At 41.9% G+C, this 27,992-nt stretch overlaps 1 protein-coding gene across 16 annotated transcripts in view; it reads left to right on the top strand.

Annotated features, from left to right (window-relative positions):
* The window catches only part of NCKAP5 (NCK associated protein 5), a 1,003,049-nt gene that overhangs the window by 156,176 nt on the left and 818,881 nt on the right, over positions 1-27,992 (top strand). For 14 of the 16 annotated variants that reach the window (XM_017003975.3, XM_011511100.4, XM_047444134.1 and 11 more), the window contains one exon: positions 1,074-1,203. In XM_017003975.3, coding sequence (XP_016859464.1) covers positions 1,135-1,203 — 69 coding nt within the window. In that variant the 5' untranslated portion in view covers positions 1,074-1,134. Of the gene's footprint in view, positions 1-1,073; positions 1,204-27,992 lie in introns of those variants that run through there. The other 2 variants (XM_011511104.1, XM_047444128.1) reach the window with 2 other exon arrangements.

Genomic DNA, 27,992 nt, shown 5'->3' with positions numbered 1-27,992 from the left:
TGGACTGGGCCAGGCGCGGTGGCTCATGCCTGTAATCCCAGTACTTTGGGAGGCCGAGGCAGGCAGATCATGAGCTCAGGAGATCGAGACCATCCTGGCTAACACGGTGAAACCCTGTCTCTACTAAAAATACAAAAAATCAGCCTGGCATGGTGGCAGGCGCCTGTAGTCCCAGCTACTCGGGAGGCTGAGGCAGGAGAATGGCGTGAACCAGGGAGGCGGAGCTTGCAGTGAGCTGAGATCGTGCCACTGTACTCCAGCCTGGGTGACAGAGCGAGATTCCATCCCAAAAAAAAAAAAAAAAAAAAAAAAAAAATCCTTTACTGTAACCCATTTCTTTTATTTCAAGCCTTTTACATCTTTGTGAAAATTGGAAGCTGGCACTTAACATATATGATGAATCCTTATTAACCAGAATACTTAATCATTCTAGAAAAAGCAATCTCAGTGGAGTTCAGGGATGAACTATATCTAATATGGTAAAAATACAGTGGGTTCTATAAATACTCATTGACAGTAATGACATCACCCACCATTCATTTTGAATCAATCTATCCCCAAAGGAATGTATCTTACAATGTTCCTCAAATATTTTTAAATTACATATTTTTTAAATTAAACAATGTTCATGTTTCAGTTTCCCTTCATTGGGCCTTGAGCTCAATAACTCTTGGTTATAGAGCGTGGTTTTGTCGGTTTGATCTCATGGAATTTGCAGACAGCATCTATGTGCACAGTAACAGAATTATTCTGGCTGATAGAGAGAGGACGGGTGTGGAGCAAGTGTGGCATGAAACGGACTGTTTGCTTTTTTCTACAGTCTGCTGATTCAACCTGCAAACCCATTCCCCAACTCCATTAGCAAAACCTATAAAAACACAGGGGCCGCCATAAAGACAACTCTGACATTTGTAACACGGAGTGGTCTTTTGAGTAGAGAGAGCCTAGTTCTATACTTATTATTTGGGACTGGGTATTTTTTGACTTCAATGCTTGTTTCTGGTTAGAGAGTTAAAAACAAAGGTCTAAACACTGTGTACTTGGATAGTAAAACACATGTTCACTCTTTTCAGTGACCCTGGAAACAGACGGGGGATTCTTATAAGTCACAAAAGAAAATAAATAACTTCATCCATGGAGGGAAAGAGACAGCTTGAGAAAAGGGACTTTGGAAAAAGGCTGTCTCTAGACAGCAGTCTTGTGGTAAGTACTAAATATTCATTTACCACTCTATATGTTTTGGCTTTGAATGCATTATTCTTTGACTGTTATTTCCTGAACGCTGTGCTTTTGAAACCTCTCTTCCAGTTACACCATTAGCAACATCCCTTGAGATTTTGTTTCATTTATTTTTTACAAACTCAAAAGCCAGCAAATTATTGGAATGTTTGTATAGTGTCTTAATAGGCAAATGTCATAATCTGTCAACATTATATATAATTACATTAATTACAACTGATGTAGACTTCAGCCTATACAAAAACACTACTGTATAGCTGATGCCAAATGCTAAGCCTACGTATAGTTGTTCCATCCCCCATTTATCTTAACCTTGGGGGTAAGTTGAACAAGAATTCAATACAGGTTCAAATATTGAAGAGCAGAGGAAGTCTTGGAGACCTTCTTAGGTATGTGCATTAGTTCAGTTGTCTGTAAACTAACTTTCTGAGAGTTTTAATGCTGATGAATATTATTCTTAACAACCTGGTTGGGTTTGCTATCCGGTGTGAAAATCTGCTTAGTCCAGTGAAACAGACTAATTCACTTTAGACTAAGTCTGATGGTTGGCTATTCTTCTGCAGTCTCTGGGCCAACATGTGTGGGTCACCTTTTCTGTTACGCAATGCGTGTGAACAGAGCAAGGAATCAAATCAAGCAAACTTGAAATAGAAAGCAAACTTTCTGAAATAGAGATTTAGCTTGGTTCCTTGTGCACATTTTATAGGGATGTGCTTTATTCACTTGTATATGCTCAGCACCTGTCCTGGAGTCTAGCAGAGTGGGGGTTCAATGAACTATTTGTTGGTTTGATTTATCCGTTATACCTTTCAAACTTTGCAGCTGTAGGTCTTGCTCTGTCACGGACAGATTAGTTATTTACCTCTTAGCGGCTGAGGCTCTGCCTCACAAATTATTCATAGATGTGAGTTTCTGGGACTTGAGAAGAGGATTGTGTTAAGCATTTATGTCAAGTTCTTCTCTCCTTAGTCAGAATCAATGTCTGTGTCTATTTGGTCTGTGCATTGACCAGCATACCTTTAGAGGCCAACTTTGGTGTATTTCAGGTTCTCCTCTCCGTAGATCTGACCCCATCTCACCTCCTACGTCTTGCTAACTCCAGGTTGAACGTGGTGACATTGGTGTGTGAGTGTGTCTGGGTGTCTGTGTGTGTGTCTCTGTGTGTATATGTATGTGTATTCCCTTTTCAACTTCTGGGGAAACCTGGGATAAAGAGATAATTTCTCAGCCTCTCCTTTGCAGAAGAAAAACACTTTTTACATATCAGCATGCCAATAGGGTCTGTCTTAGGCCTAGGCTAAGGACAGAGACAGCCGTAGGGTATGATGTGAGCAGCTCAAGAAAGATTCTCTTAACCCAGAAATATCATCGGTATTGGTTGGTCCCCAAAGCCATAGATTTCTGCCTCAGATCTCAAGTTTTATGCAAATACCCTATAAAGTTAAACATAATAAGCTATTGTCTTTCAATAATTCATAGTAGCACTCATTAATAAATGGCCTTGGATCACTGCCAAATGTCAAACCGATGAGCAGAATTTTGTTGTGGGAATTGGTAAAATAGAAGAAGGCAGAGCCCAGATAGCTGCGAAGGCAGGGATAGGGCAGGACAAGACAGGGCAGGGGGACGTGAGTAACCCCCAATGGGGATCGTAGGTACTTGCAGATCGGAAAAAGGGAAACAGTGTCAATGCTCATATTTAAATTTTGCCTAAAGATAGCTTGAAAATGGGCATAAGTAAAATCCTGTCACATTACCAGTCTAGCTGAAAACCCTAAATTGAGCTTGCATTCTTTCTGGCATATGGCTGTACCCTGAAACTTGTTGAGGGCTGCAAATATGTTTCTTGACTTGCTGGCATAGAAGAACGCTGTGAAAATGAGAACTTGTTTGGCACCACCTGAGAGACTTAATCCTGTTAAGTCTCCCTGTGTCATGCTTAGGAGAGCTTTTACACTAGTGAAATCTTTTCCTTGTTTCCTAGAGGCAGACTGTGTTACATCTGCATGCCCAGATTGGGAAAATTCTGAAAAAGGATGTCCTTTCCTATCACAGTGTGTAGGGGGGTGCTTAAATGCTTTTCAACATTATAGCACTTAGGCCAAGTTACTACAATTTTGCCCCCGGTTATAGTATTATGTTCTCTTCTTCAAATAAGATGCTACTTCTGGGAGAATAGCAGCTAGAGTATTCTTTTTGAGTTGATTCTTTGGGAATGGGAACCATTGAAAGCACCTTGAATGAATTCCAAGTATCAGAAAGAAAGCTAGACCAGGGATGAGATCAAAGATGCCTGGCCTGTGAGGGATCTGAACTCAAGATGTTGCCCTCTTCTTCAGCTTTATGCTGAAGCCACACAAATTACTAGGCAAGAAGCAGGTAGGGAAGATTCTAGATAAGGGCTGCTGTGAAATACAAGAAAACAACAAGAACAACAAACCTGGCATTACAGTACAGTTTTCATTCCCAATGCATGCTTTTTATTTTATTTTTTGAATCTAGAATGCTAAAGTGAAAATCGGTTATCTCGTCTCCTCACTTTGCAGACTGCTTAAGGCCCAGAGAGGTTATCTGCTCTTCCTGAGCTCACACGCTAGGATTACACCAAAAGTAGAACAACCTGTCACTTAAGTTCTTTATCTTTCATTATATACTATCCCAGGAACAGAAGATGTCCTTGTGGGAAACTGAATAGAGGAAAGAGAAACATATTACGTTCTTAAGTCTTAAAATTCCATTGCAATAATCGTCATGACACATATTTTTGAGAGTTAGGGGGCCCAGAGGTAATTTCCACTTTCAGATTTTACAGGAAAATATTCTCATAATGTATTGCAAGAATAAGGTGCTATTAACTTCATTACACTTTTTATTTTATATAATCAAATCATTGAAGTGTTGAGTAGAAATTATAGCTCCCTTACAATGGCTTTTACATTTTTAGACTGGAGGAATCACAGAATAAAGAAACTCACAGTCCAAAAACTGAAAAAAGCTCCAATTGGGGAAAACAAGTTTGTGGTCCTTAGTCACGTGGCATGGGGGAGGGTTTGAGTGTATGTGTGTGCACACATATACATGTCCATGTGTGTGTGCCCTGGTAACACACTGAAATATTCATTGATGGTGATTTTTTTACTTTATTATTCACCCTTTTAAAGGAGAAAGTGATACGTAAGTGAAACTGAAATGAAAAATATGTTTCATTGTGGGGGTTAAAGGCCCAGAGAGAAAGACAAGTGACTACAAGTTTGCCTCCACCAGTAGGAGTGTGCGGAGTAGCCGTATATACGTTCACGGCAAGTACAGTCTACTCTCTGATAACGATAAAAATCACCCCAGAAATCGAGTCCTCTTCTTGACCCAAAACTGTTCAGCCCTTCCCAGGGTGCTTTTTGATCAGAAAAAGTCATCATTTCACACTGTGCTCTTTTATTTGCAAGACTCATTCCCGGGCTGCCCATGTAGCTGTTTGACACTTGTAGCTGTGGTAGTATTTAGCTGATGAGCATGCTGGAGCATGAGTTATCTTTCTTACCAGCTCACATTTAAGTAACAAACATTCTCTTTTTAATTTTTGGGAAATACATTTAGCTTTTAAGCACAGATGAGAGTAACAGTATGAATTTCTTCCTGGTACCCTCTTTTCTTCTCCCCCACAAAAGGAAGAAAAAACGTTTGCCACACTGCCACACTAAATCCTCAGTTCCGACAGCAGTATAGTTTTATAAGCTTGTAGAGGAAAAAAAGGACGTGCACACATCCCTGAATTCAACCTTCAGCCTCTTGACTGTTTGTATCCAAATCGTTATAGTAATCAAGACTTCCACAACATTCATAACACAATCAGTCAACAAGCACTATTGAAAACCAGCTATGGGGATGTGCTGGATGGTTTCCATTTTCCCTCCAGATCCACTCTTTTTCCTTCTCTACCTGGCCAATCATCCCTGGAGGATGCACCACATGGACTTGCCTTTTGGCATCTGGTTGGGTTTAGCCAATGGGAGAAAGAGGTCCTACTTGTCTCCTAGCAGGAGATCAGAGGTCGAGGTGTTTGTTCTCCCACTCTCACCCTGCTTGGTCATGGACCACAGGAACTGGGCACCTTTGCCTAAAGTTGCAGCTTTTGTTGGACAACCCTCTCCCCAGAACTCCAGCTATAGTTAGAACCACTGCTCTATCTATGTTCTGGCACCTTTTCTTTTCCCATACCTTAACGATTCTTCATAGTAATGGTTCTTGGTTGTTGTTAGCCCATCTTTTGTTGGTTTGACTTAGCTCTGTCCACAATTCAGTAAACAGTCCCTTTACCAAACTCTCCTCAGTTAGATGCTTTGAGTGTGCCATCTCTTTCCTGGAAGGTCTCCCTGGCTGATACAGGGGGATAGGCTTCCTCAAGTGCTTCTAGTTTATCTAGGGAAGCTGTCCTAATAAGCAGGAAAAATATCATCACATGGAAATGAACTGTGTGGCACTGACAGTAGTAGATGCTGAGGTCACTCTGGGAAGATGTGAGGAGGGGCCATGGGGAAGCGGTAGTTGGAGCTGTGCAACTACATGGAGGGGCCATGGGGGAGCTGTAGTTTGAAGCGTCAGAGGGAATTTGGTAACTGCAGACTGAGAGTAGAGAAAAAAGAGGCAACCCAAGGATATTGGTCCTGCATCCTTTGGTGCCAATTCATGTCATTACTGAATTTTTTCTCCCAGGGAAACTTCTTCCTCATATTGAATTTAAATCTCTGCTGTTTATCTTCAGTTATTTCCCCTCTATTTAGTGACTAGATGTAATTCTGAAGCAGGAATCAGCAAACTCTTTCTATAAAGTTCCAGATAGTAAATATTTCAGGCTCTGCAGGCCACGTGAGTAGTTACAACTGCTCACCTTTGTTGTAGGAAGAGAGCTGCCTCTGAAGACACATGATCAAATGTAGCTATTTTATTTACAAAAACACTTTAATTACAAAGACAGGCACTAGGCTGGATTGTAATGGCTATCCGCATGCATTAGAGCAATGGGAATTTTGAAAGTCCTGTTTTACGTTTCCTGGGTGCTGATTTTCTAAGTAGTGATTTGTATTTACCCTCAGTATATGTGATATGCGGGCAGGCAGAGGAACAGGTTTAGGCTGTTATCAAAGGTACATATACCCCAGTAGGAAGAATAGTAGAAAAATATTTAGAAGGCATTTTTCTAAATATTTAGAAAATATTGACATAGAGTATGTTCAGCCTTGCGGATACTTTTTCTAAATGCAAAATAGAGGTATTGCTGGTGTTGCTCAGTACAGCCTACAGCTAGTGGGTTATGAATACTAAGAAAACAAAAGTCTTTATTCTGTACTGCTTCAGATATGACTGGATCTTTCTTGACTCTCATGGTTCTCTTGTTAGACCTCCTCTTACCATAGGGATACTGCACAGAGCCCAAAACACCAGCTTCCTATAGAAGGTTTCCAGCTAGTCTAATCTCAGTCCCTTTGACCATGTCTACTGATGGAAGAGTACATAAAGTACCGTTTGCCCTGTGCCCCTGGCCACTGGGAACCTGCCAAGTTGTCCTCTGGGAAGCCTGATCTTTGTTCTCTGATATCAAGATGGTTTTGAGATTTCCCAAATGAGCATCAAGTCAGGGAGGGCCAAAGAACAAGAGGGAGTTTTTCTTTTCCTCCAACTGCCTCATTTCCCCTAACTTGTCTATTATTTCTGTGTCTCTTACATGTACTTAGAATAGAGACCATGGCCTGAGCCAGGTATCAGAAGATGGCGTGACATCTGAGGATCTAGTGAAGGCCATTTTTAGGAGAAAAGTAACTGGTGGGGAATAGACTAGCTTTGGCCTGGTTTAGCAACCTTTCCAAAATGTCACGCTGAAATATTGACTGTGCCCTCTTGAGAGTGGGTGGAGGTGGAGTTAGAGACGTGTCAGACCCTTAGACAAGTATCTACCCAGTGAATCTGTCCACCAGCCGAGCTCAGCCCATCACTGCAGGTACAGAAATGCAGGAGAGGTGCCCTGCCCACCTGTTCTCCAACAGTGCAGATCTCCGGGTCCCATGGATGGAGCTGGGAGCAGATGAGCTAGGAGGAGGCAGGGGAGGCTGGGCCAGGAGGGCACCACCCACAGGTGCTACTTGCTGCAAGTCTTGAGGGAGCCCCAAAAGAGTGGGAAGAGATCAGATCCTAACACGAAAAGTCTTGGAGGGCCATTGGAGATCTGCAGCAACACTGGTGCTGGGGACAGTCTGAATGGAGGACGGAAGTAGACTAGGTCCAAGCAGTGGACATAGAGCATGTCAGCAATGAGGATGGCAGAATCGAACATCAAAGCCACTTTAGCAGACAGCTCAGCATGTTCACTTAGTGAATCATGCATTAAGTCTCAACCAGGATGGCTTCCTTCCCTTAGTAATAGTAGCTGAAATTTATGGAGGCTTAATATAGGCTAGGCATGCTGCTCAATACTTTATATGGAAACTACCATTTAATATTTAACAACAACCCTTTAAGGTAGGAACTCTAATTACCCCTATTTTACAAATGAGAAATCTGAAGCTTAACAAGTTCATCAACTTCCTCAAGGCAATGGAACTGGTAAGAGGTAGAGTTGGGATTTCACTTTAGGTCTGGGGCTATCCCCAGACTACAATGCATCTGCACAGCTAACAGCTCTGAAGCAGAAAATTGCTTTATGCCAGTGACTGGGAGCTCCTTCACGGTGCTTCACAATGTGAAAGAGCATCAGCTACCTCAACAGGACTAGACCATGTGCATTAGCACGTCTGCTGTATCTGTGCCCACTGAGGAGCCTGCAGTTTAGAACAGTCTAGATCAGAGGGAAGCCAGACTTGGTTTCAGCAAAACAATTGACAAAGGAATGGAGGTGGGAAGGGGAGACTTATAAGGAATGTAGAATGTAGGTCTAGGTCTATTTTCTGATCTTGTGATTTTCTGATGAACCAGACCTTGGAACCAACTTTAGAAGAGATTGCGATTTATAATAGTGTGTGTGTGTACGTGCATGTGTGTGTGTACACACATACCCATATATATACAATTTTGTGTTTTTATTCATATGAGAACTGATTATGGCGTGTTCATGTACAAGGTGGAGTTATTGACTAGAATGGGAGAAGAGTAGGGAGAACCTGGTGAGCGATGGGGCACCTCCAGCATCTAGCCGTCCCCCAGCATGCAGTGGGGTTTATGACTTGAGTGATGGTCCTATCAAATGGCTGCACATTCCCTCTGCTGGGCCACTGACTGATGGAGGTGAGTAGAGGGTCAGCAGCATTTCCCCTGAGGAGATTCTGGAAGAAATGCCATTTGTCTGCCCAGCACTTGCAATTGGTCCTGCCTCCTCTGACACTGCCTGAAGGAGGATCCACCTTCATTGTGGTTGTTACTCACTCTGAATGGCTCCTTTGCTTCCTTCTCTCCTTCCTTTCATCTCTGAAAAGAAGGCAGGCTGTCATCGAAGCCACATGTTCCGGAGTTCTTATGAACACGCCCCTTCCTGAGCTGGCATAATACCTACTTCTGGCCTTTTCACATTCCCACAGGCCAGTGTGCTCTAGAACAGGGTTTCCCAGCCTCGACACTATCGACAGTTTGGACCTGATCATTCTTTGTCATGGGCGCTGTCCTGTGTATTGTAGGACGTTTATTGGGATACCTGGCTTCTACCCATTGGATGCCAGGAGCACCCCTCCCTCATTGTGACAATGAAAACTGTCTCCAGACATGGCCATTATGTTCCCTGAGAAGAAAAATCACCCCTGACTGTAGGTTTCCTGAGGGCATGGGCCATGTCATATTCACATTGTATTCCTAAAGTCTGACACATAGAAAAAGCTCAGTAAAATGAATGAATGAGTGAGTGAACTTAGCAGTGAGCAGCTGCTTATGAACCAAATACACAGTCATGGGGGTGCTGAATATGGGATAAAGGGGGCCCACATGCAGCAGGCCCAGGGTGCTGTTTGGGAAGGTTGGAGAGAGGAAATGGCATGCTGCTCTTCAGGTTTGCCCAAGGATGATTCTAGTGTGTGTGTGTAAAGTTTTTTGTTTGTTTGTTTTACATCAGAGATTATTAATATGGTGTCCTGGATTCTCTTGAGTCCCAAGGTGCTTGATAGGGGAGATTTATGAAAAGACTTCCAGGGCTTTGAATTCTTTGATATATTTTATGTTATATGCATTTGTACATTTTTCTGGGGAGTGAGTCTGTAGGTATAATTAGATTCTCACAGGAATCTGTGATGCAAAAATTGTTAGGTAGCTTCACGTGCCATTAGTGCTGACCATAGCATCTGCCCATGGATGGCTTCCCTTGCTGGAGTCATGGAGCAGGAGCTCGGGTGACACCTGTTTCATTCAGCTGTATTCAGCTGCTGTGATAAGTGTTGTCTGCCAGCATCAGAGGTAGTTCTGTGCATCCTTGTTGTCGCTGAGATCACTACATAAAAACAGGAACTGGACACATTTTGAAAGCCTTTTATAAATGCTATGTTATTGACAGATGATGAAATGAGACTGCTTCTATAGCAGAAATAAGTACAAATGAGTAGAGATGTTTGCTTGGCATGTTCCATGTGTTCTTAGGGCTCCAAGATCTGTTTGTCATTCTCCTGTTGTCTCACCATCTTTCAACAATGGGAATCATCAGATCATACAAGTTTCCATGGCAACTGAGTTTTCCGCATCATTCTCTGGCAGCCTAGGATCGTTCCCATGGCAGACTCTCTAGTGCTTTGTCCATAACAGGAGGTAGAGCTTTCATCGATCCCCTTAGAAGCTGGTCCCAAACCTAACAGGCATCTGGGTGTTCTCTCTGATAAGAGCCTGCTCTTCTTTTTCGAGTTTCTCATTGATCAGCACAGGAATGGAGTACCTACTTGGTCTGAAACACAGTGAAATGAGTGCTAAGAAATGTAAACTATGATTTCTGCTTTGCAAAGCTTTAAAAAAAATCTTGTCACATATACACTATTCAGAATACCAGGAGGTATACAGTGGTGCAAACAACAAGGCTGATGGGGTTACAAAGAGGAAGTTGTTCTTCTGGCTACATTGATCAGCGAGGGCTTCCCCAAGGAGGAGGGCTGTCATATCTTCCTCCAATAAATTGGTCCAAATTTAATCTATGGTGTCCTTGAGTTCCCTGAAGCAGAAATTTATTGAGAAAGCCACAGTGTCTAAAAGAATGGGGTGTGACTCCAGGGTGCCTGGCTTATACATGAGAAATTGCCAAGACCCTAAGCAAGGTCTACTATAATCTTGAATTATTGTCCTAACTTTCCTCTTGCCCCCTCTGACCACCCCTCCTGACTCCTCTATTAACATTCTCTTACCCCTAATTCCTGGTGCAAGGCAAAATGCATCACATAGCTAAATCATTTTCATATCTTTTCTTCTCATTCATTGATCGGTGTATGCTGTACAAACTGTATATATATTAGCTGTATTTCAGCAGCCTAGGTATCTTACACTAATTTACCACTCAGCAGTATAGTTCATTTTTATCAATTAATATTTATTAGACATCCATAGGGTTCATGGCCATGAATGGAGCAGTATTTCTCATTACTTCGTGTTGCATTGCCATGTTCCATTCCTCTGGCTCACTTTAACCAGTATTTATGATCTTTCTGCCAGTTTTCATGCAGCCCTCATCTCCAGCCCAATTTCAATTAATATTTCAAAAGGAAATCCAGGAGCCATCATATTCAAACGCTTCAGTTAACACCAGAGGCACTGCCTCCATTCTGTCCTTTTATACACTAATTTTGCAATTCTCTCCTAACATGGAATCCTATTTGTCTGGCCTGCTCCCTCTAAGCCCAAAAAGTGGTTCCTCCTGGTTTCTTTACATGCCAGGCAGTTCCAGATGTTTCTTCCTCATAAATTTCAGTTTCTTAACCAGGCTTAATGGATCATAATTGTCCATTTCCGAATATGCCCCTGAGGTTTGCTTGCCTTCTGTCTTTCCGCACCTTTTTGGTTCTTGGTTTTAAGCAGTTGTTTTCAGCTTGGTAGGTTTCCTAATGCAATTAATTCGTTGACTGCTCTCATGCACATAGATGTGTAGAGGGAAATAAAATCATTTGGTTTGGTGAATTCTGGGGTCCATCTGTCAGAGCCGGCAGATAAGTAGGCTCAAGGGCTGTTGCCCTTTCTGTGAGGAGGAGCTGTTTGCAGAGGCCTGCCGTTTTTGGAGATGGAGTGGCCATGAGGCTGGCAGTGATCCAGCTTGGGTTGGTGAACGCTGAGAGTGAAATCTGTGAAGGCACCAACTAGACAGACTGGGATGAGGCCAGTGGTGTCCTGCCTTCCTCCCGGAGTAGACTCCGGGCTAGACTGTGGGTGTGGTAGGTAGCTATGTGGAGATCTCCTGGGCCCAGTTTGGTAGGTCCCTGAGGCAGGATATCTGACCTAATTTCTGTTTGGTGAGGTGTGGTGAGAAGGAAGTGACTGAAAGAGAGAGCCTGGTCTAAAGTAGTTAGCCTTTCTCATCCTCTTAGAGGATTTGAGTAACTTCCCATCATTTGTCTACAAAGACAAAATCAGTAATATTGTTTTATTGTTTACTGCATCAAAGTCTGGGAAGGAGACACATTGCACACTCATGCCAGGTACTGGAGGAGAGTTTAATAAAGGGCCTCTTTAAAAGGGGTGGCAGGATATAGAAAGTGCAACAAGATAATAATGGAGCCTCCTGCAGCTAGAAACAGTGGGGAGTCATTGCCACTAGGCCTAGAAAGTGGCTATAGAACCATGTGGCTATAAGGAGTGAACCATTTGGCGGGAAATGCCACTTAGGTGGAGGGATATGGCCAACCGTGCTGGCCCTGCAGCAAGGGGATCGGGACGTGAACACTCCCACTTCATTCTCCTCACACTGTCTTGTCCCCTGTTGGTGCCTCCACTGGCTGAACCCAATTGGAAGCCAGAGGGAATGGGGCCCATAGAGTGCTCTGGGCCCAGACCAGGGCAGGGAAGGGTGAAGGGTAGATTTGGAGAGGCCAAACGAGTGTATCCAGCACATTGACTCTATAAAATAATATACTCTGCCACCATCTCTTCTCACATTTCTGGGCTGAGAAAACACTAGCCCATTTTTAATATTTTATTTGAAATAGATTTTTGTGTGTTGTTTTCCAGTCTATTCCCTTGGACTTGTCAATTTGGTTTCACCAGACAATTTGATGTGGCACCTTCAGAACACAAGTTCCATGTAACCAGTGACATGGTGTTCTCTTCAACAGTCCTGATAAAAGTTGTGTGATGCTGAGGTGCAGGGAGGGTGGTCTAGTGGATCGATCACTGCATTAGAACTGCGTAAGTCCTTAGACTAGAGCTGGAGTTGAAATGTTTGGTAGATGTGTGGCCTTTAGCACATTTCTTAAACTCTCTGAATATCTGTGTCTTCAATGGTGGGACACTATGATGAGGGATGTTGTCATTAAGTGAAATAAAGAACAAGGAATTGTTTTGGAGGCTGTGGCACCCTATGCAAAGGAAATACATTGTTATGACGAGAGCGGTGCAGCTCCTATCTGCTAAACTCCAAAATTTCTATCAAATATAGAAGTAGCAGTGGCAGCCTCAGGAAGAAAGCTGTATTAAGAACTTGCTGTGTGCAAAGCACTAATTTTAAAGGGCACAGTGGAAATAGATGCCCTGTAATGCAGTGGAGAGAGCATGAGTTGGCTGGAGAATGAGGCTGAACTGGATTTGAATCCCAACCTGCCTCCTACTGCCTGTGTGAGTTTGGCCATGTCACCTGCCTTCTCTGAGCCTCCGTGTTCTCATCTATTAGTAGAGGTGATCGTCTCTTATTCAAAGGGTTGTTGAGTGAATTTAGGGAAAGGACTCACAACACAAATAGGGCATGCAGTACCATGCCTGGCATGCAGACTTCTCTACCCTGGAAACATGTGGACCAGCTGATGTGGCCGTTCCAGATGGCAGCTTTCTTTGTCTGTACATGGAAGGAAGCATTCAGAAAAGATTTTTATTAATGTTTGGTTTACATATATATATATATGATGTTTAAAAGTGGAATAGCATATCCATGATGTTATCTGCCAGAAATGTTTACCCAGGTGTTTACTACAGGTCATGTCTGACCAACCTCAAATTCCTTTCTTCTTAGTTCAATTGCTCAGCAGTCCCCTATTAATGAGCTGTACACCAGACCCTCTTATATGGAGCATTCTATTTTTCTGGAAATCTTGGCCTCTTGCTCTCAACCCTGAAACCCAGCCAGTGTCTATTTATAACAGGTAATTTTATTCCAAAAGCTTCCAGAAGTGCCCATAGTCTTCCAAGCACAGGTACAATGACTCCCTGTGCACAAGGTCCCGCTGGTTCTCCTTGCTCCAGGCACCATGCTCCTGATAGAATCAGGCTGGATGACTGGCCTGAGGAACCCTCCTTTGTTTGTCTTATGCCTTCAATTGCTTTAAGCTCTGCCAGCTTAGAGCAGTGGGAGATGAGTTTTGGGGGGGAACTGGGGAACATTTCCCATCTGACTGCCTTTGCTCCGATAGGGGGAAAAAAGACTCAGAGGGGTCAAAATGGGAACATTTTTCCACTACATAGAGAGAAGGAAAGAGGAAACAGGGTCCCAGTGGCCTCTTGCCAGGCCCCAGGAATGCACCAACCCTGGGAACTGGCCCCTCGCCAGCCTCCTCAGAGGCTGCTGACTTGGGAAAACTGGCTATCTGGCTGCTGCCAAGAATGCAGACAATGGTCTTTTGGATATTCTAGCTTATGAAAGTTTGGCTTTTGTTTTATTATCACCAAAGGTAACATTTATTGGCCACCTACATAAGCATGCCAAAAGATAAAATGCATGATTGGAAGTCAGTGTAACTTGAATCAGGCAGAAACATCAGGGTTCTCTTATAGTATTTTCAGCCTGCTTCTAATTTGGGCCTAATCCTCAGCTCTGGTACATTGCTACCTTAAATGCATGTGCTGAATGGTACAGAAATTCTAGAATTAAAGTTAATTTTTAAGTGCTAAACTGAGCTATAGTATGTCACCTGGAAGGCTGGACATAAATGGAATCAGTTTGTCCAAGTCAGCCTTCACCCCTTTGCAGTTCAGGCCCCCAAACCTTGTTTTAAGAAGATTCTATTGGTGTAAACCCAGATTTATACAACAGATACACCAGGGATTGCCTTTTCTTCTTCCCAGAAAGATTCCTCATATAACCAAGGACTCACCAGAAGATTGCTTTAAATAGTTTTTAATGCATTTTAAATTGGATTTAATTTTCAAAAATTCAATTTGCAGTTGTAGTTTCCCATGGAGCTAAACCTCCAACATTAGACTTTTTTTTTCCCTCTGCAAATGGAAAACAGATCACAGAGGGTATTGTGGATTTAAGCACTTTTCCCAGGAGCCCTGAAGGTCTTGGAGAGCCCGTTCTTGTGCCCAGAGGGAGTTTCTATTCAGAGGAGGAGGAGGAGAGTGACAGCTAGGGCTCCTAGGCCTTGGTTCCTCCCTGGCAATATCTTCCTTCTTCACTCTTGACTGATTTGGTGGGGCTGATGGACAATGTGCTCTATCCTAAAGGAGAGTGACGTCCTGCAATTAATCCAGAGAAACTCTTTGGTAATTGAATATTGTTTGGAAATAACAAAAGTTCTTGTTTTAAATGAGGAATTAAGTAGGATGAGTCTTAGTATAATAGGAGCAGGAAGATGGTTCCTCCTTTTTCCTATATGGTTACCGGATCCCCATGAAAAATTGGAAAATTGGGTGTAGTGGTTGTTACAGAAAGCATATTTGGTGTCCAAAGTCCTTTGCCCAGAGAAGGTCCAACCAAAGATCACTGCCCATGTTGATAAGTGTGTTGCTGCAGGGCTTCTGTTGAAAGGAAAATGAAACTGGCTAATAGAAACTATGTATAGCTCTCCATGTCATAAAAAAAGACCCAGCTCTGCTACTAATTAGCCATGTGCTACCCTCAAAATCTTTAACCTCTTCTGAGCCTCTGTTTTCTTCTGGGCTTATATAAGGATCAGATGAGGCAAGAGCCAAAAGCAATTGTTTGAGAAAGTTAAAAGTCATACTCCAGAACAGTAAGAACTGTGATCATTTGAGAACTTAAATGGGAACAGGAGCTTTGACTCGTTCACAGTTATACCCCCAGTACAGTTGAGCAGAAAGGAGCATTCCAAGGTGTTCCATGAATGACTGAGTAAAGGAAGAAATGAATAACAGTCACTATAATAAGATAAAAACCAAGGGTTGTTGCTGGTGGGACTGGGTTTACTACCAAGTAAAGCTCTATTCCAGTAAGTGCTGTGGATAAACCATACACACTCTTGATTAACCTAACTGGCTCACCTAAACTGGCTCACCCCTGAGAGCTGAAATTGTTTCTGTCCACTCTCAGATGCCAGAAGTAGGCTCACCCAACTGGATGTGACCTAGGATCGTTTCAGATGCCTACCATCGCAACATAGAGCAAGGGAAAGGGGCCAACTTCCATCCAAGTCCCTCCTCTGCAGGGAGCCACCTCACTCCCCAGGCACACTTGGAAGCTTGCCACTCATTCATTCATTCATTCTTTCATTCATCACACGTTCATTGAACGCCTCATTTCCGAAGTACTGTGCTTCTATTAAAATCTTGAAACTATTACTATTCTTTAAAATGCGTTTTTCTTGAAAAGTCTGCAGTGCTTCTGTCATAGCTGTGGTGTGTGCCCCTGTGGGAGTCACCGGGGTGGAAGGCACAGAGGCTCACGGCATGAGGGAGGGCTGGGTCCTGAGTCTTTATCTGCTTTGACCTTTTATGAATATCAAGGATATGATGTAGACATATGGCATACAGAGGAAAGAGGGTAGAAGACTGAATAGATTTTAAGACTGGGATGAATCTCAGGACAAGCAGTGAGATATCTATATTTCTATATCCATATCTATCTATCTATTGTATTTGGCCAAAGGAAGGAGAAAAGTCATCAAACACCACCACCACACACACTAGAGGGCTGCCTTTGATCCAATGTTCTCTCCACTCTTTCAGCCCCTTGGAAATCAGCCACCATTCGTGTGGAGGTACAGAGTAAAAAAGAACCCATGGCCCATAACGTCTGCATGGAGAAGAGGTAGCAAAGGGTCACTGTCATGTCAGATCACAAGCCAAGCATGGCATTTCTTCCCTATCTCTGAAACTAGATAAATCTAGAAGATTTGAGTAGAGGCACATATAAACCAGATGCAGATATGAGCAAACTAGCCAGACAGGGACAGAGGTGGAGTCTTGAGATACTGGGGAAACCCAAGACTTTCTTCTGGGCTTATATAAGGATCACCAAAGTAGCAGTCACGGGAAATTATCACAGCAAGCGAGGCGAACGGACACTCAAGGATCTACGGAGCCTGGAGGCTCCTATAAAGCAAAGACTACATGTTGAGTATTTCATGTTACTACCACTTCCCTGTTGAATTTTGTGATTAGTGTCCTTGTCACATGATTTAGGAATTCCCAGGAGGACTAGAAAATGATAAGATGTTGTGTAGTGCTATTTCTTGAAACCAATTATTTGAGAGAATTCATGAAAAATTGAATAGAGTAAGGTTTCTCACTTGAATGAGATTCACCATCATCCAAGAGAATGTACAAATTAATCCTTTAGAAAAGTTAATAGCTTAGCTCTTGTTAATATTAACTAGTTAGATCCGAACAGAAGAACGAATCAAATCAGGATTTCTGTCTGCATTCTTTGTATACACACCTAACTAACACATTGACTGAAAAATGAATGAACACGACTTTAATTTTGAGTATATGACTAAAATGTATGAGCTCTTCATTCACATCTATAAATGCAAATAAAATATTCTGATTAGTAAAGTTAACTCGAAATTGCTGGAATCTCAGCTAAAGACCTGTCTGTGGAATCTAAGTTCCAGTACTTTTTTTTAGGTGAAATCTTCCAAAAGAAATCATTTCTATGTCTCAATTGCTAAGCTTCCCTAGATTGAATCAACAGGGCTAATTAAGGACTCAATTTTATAATGGCACTTAGGTAGATTTGCTGTGATCATTGGTGTATGAGTCTAGCCAACTCATTTAGATCACAAGCTTCTGCAGGACAATGTATTTGTAGTTATCATTCCATGTCCTCAGCTTATAGTACAATGCCCAGTGCACAGCAGAGCTCAGTAAATGCTTGACGGGTAAATTTTTCTGTCTATGGGCTCCACACGTCTGGTCCCAGGTTTGTCACTAATTGGCTGAGTCACTCCAGAGAAGTCTCAGTTTTCTTCTGAGTTTCAGCTGTACCTTCTTGTCTTTGTAATCAAAGGACGGAGCCCAGCGATCTGTCCAGTTCCTTGGAGCTGAATGATTCTGTGGTATCAAGCGCCTAGCACAGGATGAGGTCCTGCAGGGAATACTAACGAAGAAGGAAAACACAAGGTTCCAGCCATCAAAGTGTTCCCAGTACAGCTGTAGAGATGGTGTTACAAGGATTAATCAAGCATAGGGACCCCTTCCCTGTGTTGTATTTAAGTAAGGAATAATGGAAATGTCTATGATGGAATTGCAGGCATCAGTTATTAGTGAAGAGAGATATTTTATAGGGAAAGAAATCTGTCACAAGTACATCACTATCCCAATAAACTTACGTATAAAGATGATCCTGAAGAAAATTCAATATAGATTGTTTATACTGCTGTCTAAAAATGAGATATTTGCTTAAATTTCTTTCAAGTGTGTCAAGATAAATTTAAAAAATTAATTTGTAATCCTACTTTAATGTTTGAACTCCCCACTTTGCCCAAAGCTGCTCTGTTAACTTTACAATCAATTTAGGGGTGCTGTTTTGCTGAGGCCACTGTTGCCTCTTTAGGACGTGGTCATTACAGTTGTAATTTTGGTATTTGAGATTAATTATTGCCATGTCTGGTTAGCAGACCTCCCATGTGCTTTGTCCCTCAGAAGTCTTCAGTTTTCCAAAATGCTGCAGCAGAAAGACACGTGTTATTGGAGCAGTGTCTCTGGTGTGATGAGCACGCTTGAGTTGTAAGTTAGAAGGTAAAGTTTGTCAAAAGTTACAATTCTGTGAACTTCAGAGGGATAAAACCTCATTGATTTGGCAGATTTGAGGTAGACTTTCTGACTGATTTCTTTTTTAGAGAGCGGAGCATGCATCTTTTCAAATTCATATTATTGTTGAATTAATTACTAATAGAATTTATCCTCAGTGTGTTTTTCCAAACAAATAGATCACTTGTAATTGGCATTGCTTTGCAAATCCAAAATCAGACATCCACGTTCTTAAAAGCAGTTTATCCTTTTTATAAGATTCTGTGTTTTCCCCTCAAGATGACTCAGATTTTAGATTAAATGATAGAATGCATTCTAGATACATTTCTAGGTAATCAAGCCCAGACTTGGAAGTGTTTACAGTGCTTGCTCTTCTAAATCCTTGTGAATAATCAGAGAAACTATTTGAAAAATGGTGTTGTGTCAGAAACAAGTTGGGATCCATTCATTTCTGAAAAATCAAAGAATTTGCAAAATGAGAACACTGGGGCCAGGCGCGGTGGCTCACGCCTGTAATCCCAGCACTTTGGGAGGCCGAGGTGGGCGGATCATGAGGTCAGGAGTTCGAGACTAGTCTGGCCTACATGGTGAAACCCCGTCTCTACTAAAAATACAAAAATTAGCTGTGCGTGGTCATGGGTGCCTGTAATCCCACCTACTCGGGAGGCTGATGCAGGAGAATCACTTGAACCCGGGAGGCTGAGGTTGCAGTGAGCCAAGATTGTGCTGCTGCACTCCAACCTGGGCGACAGAGCTAGACTCCATCTCAAAAAAACAAAAAACAAAAAACAAAAAAGAACACTTAGACTTTTATGTCACTTTTCTTCAGCATTGAGTCTGGTCTGGTTTATGTGGTATGCCCGCTGATGAGGTGGCAAGAAGATGTGTCCACCTGGTGTTGGTTTTTTTGCATGGCCTTTTGAAAATGTGTTTATGATGTTCCATCTAGTTTGTGCATTTTTAGAACCCACAGATGACTGAGACAGAAAGACTTGGGTATTTCCCTTTTCTGTGATAGACGTTTAACGTGCAAGTAAGCTTTGCAAGTTAAATATTTATCTCATGTCCACATAATAAAAACTTCTTACTGAAAGCTGGCTCATTTTACCAATTTGGTACTGGGTCTCAAACCAAAAAACAGCTCATATTCCTTTGGTATGAGCCTTTGTGTGACTTTAACCACATCTGCAAAATCACAAACAAAATGATAAAGCCATTTATATCTGGCAGCCGCAGTCCAGAATTGAAATGTTACTGGTAACTTCACAGTATTACATAGCCACCTACTCCCCATGCAAAGTAAATTGTCTTGGGTTGGCCACCTGTATTAGAACTCAGTATTGCCAGTTAGCAGTTCCTTGATTCAGGAGGTCGCCAACCCAGGCATGACTGCTGGATTTCCGAAAGGAGTGCATTATTCTTGGAGCCATAAAACAATTGTATCTGTGGAAGCCAAGATAATGAGTATTAAAGCTTGTGAGGTAATTGTGTCAAACTGCCAGGTGTGAGTTGATCACTTCTTGGAGAAAGAGTACAAACTCCTTCACCTTCTCTACACCTGCAGGTCAGCACAGCTGAATGAAAGACATGGTGAAAATCACTTCCTTCTTTTACAGTATGTCTTTGCTGTGTTTACTCTTCTTTCTCTCCCTCTCTCCCTCCGCGTCTCTCTTTTCTTTTTTTTTCTTTCTTTATTTTTATGGATGCATAAAAGTTGTACATATTTATCTTTTCTTTTTTCCCATTTTTCCCTTCTCCCTGTCTCCCTACCATTCCTCTTTTCTCCTTCCCTCCCTCCCTCCCTTCCTCCCTGCCGCCCTTTTCTTCTTGGCTGCCTGCCTGCCTGCCTGCCTGCCTGCCTGCCTTCCTTCCTTCCTTCCTTCCTTCCTTCCTTCCTTCCTTCCTTCCTTCCGTTTTTCTCATTCTTTCCCTTCCTCCTCCCTTTTCATCCTTTCTTTCTTTCCCACTTTTACTCTGCTCCCTCTATTTCTCCCTCATACACATCCTGCCTAACTGCATGTAAATGTAAATATCCTGAAAGGAATCCAGGAACATGTCTGGGTCCCCTCCCCAGCCTTTTGCAGCAGTTTGCTCTGACCCTAACTTCTGAATGATGAAGCTCTGGAAACGACCAGAGCTTGCTCTTCAACACAGTAGCCACAGCTCTCAAAGGCTAAGCTTTTACAAAAACAGCCACAAATGTCGGGCATATGTTCCTTATGGATATCTTTTTTTCCTCACAAAAACCGAAATCACTAAAACCTAGCATGAAATTTCAAAGGCTTGGTCCCTATGAGAAGCTACAAGATCAGAGGAGTGGAGAATTTTGAAGCCAGAAGGCTTGTTGGATATCTGAATAGATATTAGACATACGCATGGCTCTGGGGACTGCATTTGCTCATTTTCACCATTGCGGGTTGTGTTACCTGGGGTTCTTTCTATCTTTGAGAACACAGAGATAAAATCCCCAGTAGTTTTTTCTGCATTGTTTACCAAAGACAGGGGCCTGTATCTAAGCATGGTTAACTCTGCTTTGAACTTCTTGTTTGCCTTCTTCCCTTCTGGTCACAGTCATATATAAAATTTGAGAACGCTGAAATTGCCCAAGGAACAAACAAACCTATTGGAGGACTAAACAAACTGCCACATGGTTTCTGTGCTTGGAAGCAGCAGGCAGCAGATCCGCTTCTGTTTGAAGCAGCTTTCTGTTACACAGGACAAGGATCCTATAGGACAAGGCGATTAGTGAGAAGCCATAGAAGGAATGTCTTGGAAAGTGAAGGGAGGCAGCACCATTGTCAGCTCCCTGTTACCTCCCAGGAATCTTCCTAATGGGATGCTCTGTGGTAGGAATTTGGGCTGTGAAACCTATTTGTGAGGATCTTATTCAGCCCATTCATAGCTTGCTCCTGACTGAAACTTGGCATGCTGAACTCTCAGGCAGGAAGCCATAGCAACCCATTTAATACCAATGTTAAAAACAGTCTCCTTGTAATTAAGGGAGTATTAAGAAAACAGAGCTTCTGCCTCATTTTGGCCCAAGCTCAAAAGATGATAAGCTGTGTTGTAGTAGGGCTTTTTATTTTTTCTTAAATCAAATTTTGACAGTCCTTTATCCTTGAATGTAGATGAGACACTCCTGATATTTGGGAAATAAATGTGTTGCATTAAATTGTCAATGCTAATCTTTTAAAATTGGCAATTGCTTTAGCTCAGTTATATGCTCTATAACCCTATCAATCTGTATAGTGCTCAGTTTCCATGGGAATAAGCTTTGCACGTTCATTCAGCCCAGAATATGAATTAATTCAGGAGGCTGTGGTTGTGCTGACAGTAAGTGCTAAGTAATTCTCCTGATAACTGGAAATATCATCTGTGTTGCTTTGTTAGAGAAACATTTTCCTGTTTTGTTGTTATTGTTTTCCTCAGATGTCTAATCTTATGGTGCCTACTTTTTGCAAGAAACACTTCTTTGCAAATATACTTGGGAAGTTTTTTTTAATAAAACAACTCTGAATCTATTATAAGAGCCTCAGTGGCTCTCATAGGTGGTCAAGTTTTTCCGAATAGATGCCAATTTTCCCAGTACAGTAGTTCTCCAGCTTGAGCATATAAATACATCAGAATCACCTGAAAGACTCATTAAAACACAGATTACTGGCTCTAACCCCAGAGTTTCTGATTCAGCAGATCTGAGTGAGGCCATGAATTCGCATTTCTAACAAGTTGCTGATACCCATGCTGGTGGGCTAGAGCTCACACCTTAAGAATCACAGTTCTAGTCAATGTGAAGTTGCCACAAAGCTCCAAAAGCATTTTTGTAGTAGTTGCTATGTGGTTGGTACAGTCCTAAGTTTTATGAGATGCATTTTCTGTCTTGATAATATATAAGTTACATGCAAAATCAAGAGGAATAAAAAATTCGTCCTATAAATGGCCAAGGGAAGGGAGATGAACATGAGCTGAAGGACTCAGCAGACTTTGAAAAAGATGTTGGACTGGAACTGACCATAAAGGATAATGAGAAATGGAACTTTCAGAAAGGTAATTTTCAGTAAGAAATGAACAAGTAGCTCAGGATTTTGTCCCAGAGGTGCCCATGTATCACCTACAGGGTTAACAGTTTCTTAGGTGAGGAGGGTTTCCCTTTTTCTGCAAGATTTTATTTTCTTTGTAATCCCTTCGTAATCAATCAGGGACTCAAGAAGATTCAAGGGCTGATTTGTTAAGCAAGTAACGTCTGCATGTCTGTAAATAATGTCAAAAAGTTGACCTGGTTTACTAACATCATCATCTCCAAAAGCATTTAATTAGATACATTTGACTGAAACAGTGGTTTAAAAAAATTTATAACCTTGAATACTGTCAGATTTTGTGCATGCTCCTGGCTTGAATAAACTTCTGAATAAACACATGATCTGTCAAAGCAAGTGTGTTGTTTAATTTAATTTAGATTTTGAGACATCCTGACACTATATGAGGCAGGCATAAAATTTTGCCTGAGAGTAACCAGCAAGGAAATATTTTACTATTAGTATATTTAAAATGTAATTTTCAGCTGGTAATTCTACCCAGATCTACTATTTACACTACCCAGATGAGTTAGCAGGTTTATTCCTAGGTATGACTAGTTAATCTTCCACCTTCCCCCTCCACAGACATGTCTCTGGACTGAATCCTTCTATATCATCCTGTTATTCAGTAGTTCGGAGCTTTTTGTGTGCCTGAGTGACTACAGTCCTTCAAAAACTGGCTGTCATGAAACAGTAGTTGCAGTAACTGAAGGAGCTGCTCTGTCGCTGGACTTCACAAATCTTGGATGAGTCTAACAATGGTTTGAGGGAGGTAATGGCTGGTTTCCAGTTTATTCTGCATGTGTAGATCTGTACACAGTCCCTGTGCCTACTGCACTAAGCGTCAGTGTGTTTCTGTGCTAAGCAACTGGTTTTCCTATGCAATCAAGATTGCCTTTTGGAATCGCGTGTAGGGTGGAAGTCTCGAGGCAACAGGTCAAACTCTGTAAAATATTTACAGAGGTTTATTCTGAGCCAAAAATGAGTGAGAAATGGACTGTGACATAGTCCCAGGAGATCCTGAGAACATGGGCCCAAATGGTCAGGCTACAGCTTGGTTTTATACATTTTATGGAGATATAAGACATCAATCAATACATGTAAGATGTATGTTGGTTCAGTCCAGAAAGGCAGGACAACTCAAACTGGAGGCTTTTAGATCATAGGTGGATTCAAAGATTTTCTGATTGGCAGTTGGTTGAAAAAGTTATTATCTAAAGACCTGGAACCAATAGAAAGGAATTTCTGGGTTAAGATAAGGGGTTGTGGAGACCAAGGTTTTGTTGTGCAGATGAAGCTTCCAGGTAGCAGGCTTCAGAGCTCTTATCATACCTTAAAAGATGCCAGACTCTTAGTCAGTTCTCTCTTGGATCAGGGAAAAGACCTGGAAAGGGAAGGGGATTCTCGACAAAATGTAGATTTTCCTCTACTTTGCAGGGCCATTTCAAAGTATGTCAAAAATATATTTTGGGGTAAAATAATTTCTTTTGGTGCCTGCTCTCTGACATGTATGGCTATACCAGAGCTAGGCTGGAACTGGGTGTCTTATTGCTATAAAAAGTCTATTTTATCAGTCTTAACATCCCTGCTTTAATGTTAAGGCTGGTTAGTTGTACCCGATTTCCATAGAGAGGAGGGTATAATGAGGCATGTCTGACCGCACCTTCTCATCATGGCCTGAAGTCGAGTTTCAGGTTTACTTTGGAATGCTCTTGGCTAAGAGGGGGCTCATTCACTTGGTTAGGAGGCTTAGAAATTTATTTTTGGTGTACAGACAGAAGTATGGAAAATGGATTGAAGGGATGCAGGACTTGAGACATTGAAACTGGCTGGGAAGTACTTCTGTTTGTTTAGGGAAGACTCAAGAAAAGGTGGAGCTGAGGCAATGACATGGAAATGCAGAGGAGAAGGTCATTAGGAGAGAAAAAAACTGAGATATCTTGGTGAACAAAGGTAAAGGTAAAGCCCTAAGCCCAAGGTTTTGTATAAGACAGAAATTAGGCCTTGATAGCAGTGTTGTTGGTAAGCCTGTATGGTTTTTGGCTATATGAGAATGAACACTTAAGGTACAATGAAGGGTCTGTCTCAAATTGCAGAGGCAAATGGTAAAACAGAAATGGAAAGGGGTCCCATATGGGCCTCTTACTCCCAATTCCAGATGCTGCATCAGTGCAACGGCACTGTCTCTGAACAAAAAGGCCAAAGCATGAGTTCCACATAGATCAAGTTAAAGGGCTACCAACTTTTTCTCACAAACCCAAACTTTCCTGATGTCAGAATGATTTCTTGGACAAGCAAGAAAGTCTTGACCTCTCTCCCTTTGCCTAATTTCCTCCCACAGAGTGATAAGTGCCCTTGGGTGATGGAGAGCCAGGGAGCAGCTGGCCTTGGGCCTTCCAGGTGCTCCTTTTGTCACTATTTTTTCTGCCTGATCTTTGTCACATCATTTAACCAGCCTGCTCACTCTTCTTTCTTGAGATGGCATTGCCCATTCTAATGTATCACTCTTCTGTGTACTATAAGCAAATGGAAACATTAGCTTTATAAACTAACTAGTGAACCATGTTTAATTGTGTAGATGACGATGACTAAACACAAACTGCTTTGCAACTGTGATATAAAATGAACCTGGAATTAAGCAGGGAAACTCAAAACAGGATTCTCATTTATTCATTCCTTTTTGGGTTTTGTTTCAATATTTGTTAAGTACATACTATGTGCCAGACACTGTTCTCAGTGTTTGAGACACATCAGTAAACAAAATTCTTTACTCCCGTGGTACCTACAGATTGAGTTACAGAATATTTTAGTAGGACCCAAACTATTACCAGTTTTCATATGCTTGCCAAAGTCATGGTGAGGGTTACGTGATAGTCTTGAAAAAGAATAGTATGAAGGTATTAGTATTTAGTCACTGGCTAATGGTAATTGTTATTTATCAGCTACCTTTTCCCTATGCCCATCTTCTTCCTGCTTTATGGACCTGTTGTATTGACATGCATGCCTGTCAACTGTTATACATCTGGCTCTCTCTAAAACACACTGAAGTGTAACAGCAAAATGTAAATTCTGTCAAGGCCAGAGTACATTTAGAATTGCATAAAGTCGCTGAGCGAGTCTGTTAGGGCACAGTGACCTTCCCTAGCTACACCCAATTTTACACTGCCACTTAGTGAGATATTTTTAATGTCACTTGAACTGTTTCAGGTAGAAGATCTGAGGCTGAAATAAATACAGAGTAATTTGTCAGGTTTGCCAGTGCAGAGGTTGTTAATGACCTTCATCTTGGAAAGAAATACATTGTTTTCTGATAGCCATGTGTTGAGTCACATGTACCTTAAACACTGGCCCTCCCCTTGTGACTTCTGTTCTGGGCAACAGCAAGATGGCTTTCACCACTCCCTGGTCTTCCAGTCCAGGAAGGAGTTGTCAGAGAAAGGTACTGAAGCACTGAGTCTATGAATTCCTTGTTAAATAAATTGTGGATTCATGTAATTGGATTTTATATTAGATCAACAAGAGTTGAAAAATCACAGGATCAGAATTTTAGAACAGAAAATGCTTTCTTCTTTCCATATACAATCTCACAGGTTATATATCTAACATCCCTGTGAGATTGGCATAATCATGCCTATTTTATAGATGAGGAAACTGAGGCTTGGAATAATTAAATTACTTTGGTTCTTGGTCATATAACTAGTTAGAGACAGAACCTAGAAGGGAATCTATTTCTGATCGTTCCAGATCCAGCGATTTTTGGAGTGTGTTGTGCTCCCTTCAGAGACCACGCACAGGAAGCGTTGTGTTATAAGGTGCTATGAAATAGAACTGAAAATCACAGGCACAGTCCCGCTTTCCGCAAGAACCCACAGACCTGCTGGCCTCACTCCTGTTCCCAAACACTGTCTTCATATACTACATCTTCTTTACAACTATACTGTAAGGTACCAATGTTGTCATCCCCATTTTACAATTGAGGCTGAGAAACTAATTTCACTTATGTGGTGAATGGTGGGGCTGAATTAGTGGGTGGGGCAAATCTTTCTTGACTCCAAAGCCCGTATTTTCACCGGGAGCTTCTTTGGTGACAAGATAGACCTTAACACACACACACACACACACACACACTAACTAGATATGGCATAGGATACAGGTAGAGCAGGGATTGGGGGCAGGATGGGAGATGCATCAGAGATGGGAGCAAGCATGCTGGCCTGGAGTGGCTGGGAAGGCCTTACAGAAGAGCTTGCAGGGGCAGGAGCTCCTGGAGAAGGTAACATAGAGAAGAAATGGAAAAAGCCCTGTTTACCATATGAGTAGTAAAAATGCGTGAAGGACATTTATACACAGATTTATTGCAAAGAAATACATATTTTCACAAGCTTCTGTCAACAGAAATAAACAAATTACAGACCTATATGTGGCAAACAATATGCTGAACTCCTGACCTAACGGTCTCTGCGGGAAGTGACTACTGTCTCTTGCCTCCATCTCAGCTCTGCCCATGTGGCTTTAGTCACTTTGGTCATCTTATGGCCCTTCAACTATGCTCCCATCTCCTTAGCAGAAAAGCTGGCTATTCCTTCACGTCTTGTCAAAACTCCCTCCCTCACTTCATAGGGATGGAGAAGAACAGATCTATTCTGATGTATTCTGGGAAAGGAGTAATATTCTATCTGTTAACATATAGAATATCAGAAGAATAGAGATGGTGTTTTGAATTTTAGATAGGGTCTTTTCCCATTGCCCTCTGCTGTTCCTGTCTTTCCCTAGCCTACGTTTGCTTAGAGGTGATCTTGGATTTAATCATAACCTTGGTGACGCTGTTGGACCTCTCTGCACACAACATTGTTACCATGAGGCAGGTCTTAACCTCTCTGCTCCACCACCCTCCCAGACAGCCTTCCCTGACCACCTTATTAGAAGTAGCTCATGCTGGGCCATCAAGAACCCCACTTCCTGTGATAGTTGGATTCAGAACAATGGTCATTCCCGGACATTACATTCCTATTTATTTACGTGTGTATTATCCATCTCTTACACAAGGTGGCAAGCTCAAGAGCAGCTGTATTGCCCATTCTCTGATGCCTAACATGGCAAACCATAAAAGCCCAAGAAATATTTATTGAACACATGAATGAATGAATTGATGACTATTGAATGATAGGAGTATGAACTCATAGATGAATGTGAGATCACTTTGAGAATTTCTCATCTTCTCTGTCTCTTACATCCAAATTCTTTTCTTCTCCTGTTTCCACAGCTTAGCATTTCCCTGAAGTTTCCTCTGGTTCTTTTGGAAAAGTAAGCAGGCTTACCTACTTTAGATCTCTCCTTGAGGGAAACTTACTCCTCTTAACAGAAATCATAAAACTTACATTATAAACTTGGCAAATACAAAGCAAACAGCCAGAGCTGGAGTCCACAAAGAAAACTTGGCTAAAAATGAACACTTCCTTGGAAAAACTTGTAGTCAATTGTGTCAGTTCTGTTTTCCTGGACCTAGCAGCCTGGGTCTGCCTCGTTCTGTCCAGCACTATGAAAATATGGGTGTGTGCTCAGTGATTGCCCATGAGGTGCCTCCTATCCCAGTGTCCTCACTTG

The sequence above is a fragment of the Homo sapiens genome, chromosome 2 (assembly GCF_000001405.40).
Source record: "Homo sapiens chromosome 2, GRCh38.p14 Primary Assembly".
Classification (NCBI taxonomy): Eukaryota; Metazoa; Chordata; class Mammalia; order Primates; family Hominidae; genus Homo; species Homo sapiens.
The sequence above is the reverse complement of the archived record's forward strand: the minus strand, read 5'-3'. Positions and strand labels throughout refer to the sequence as shown.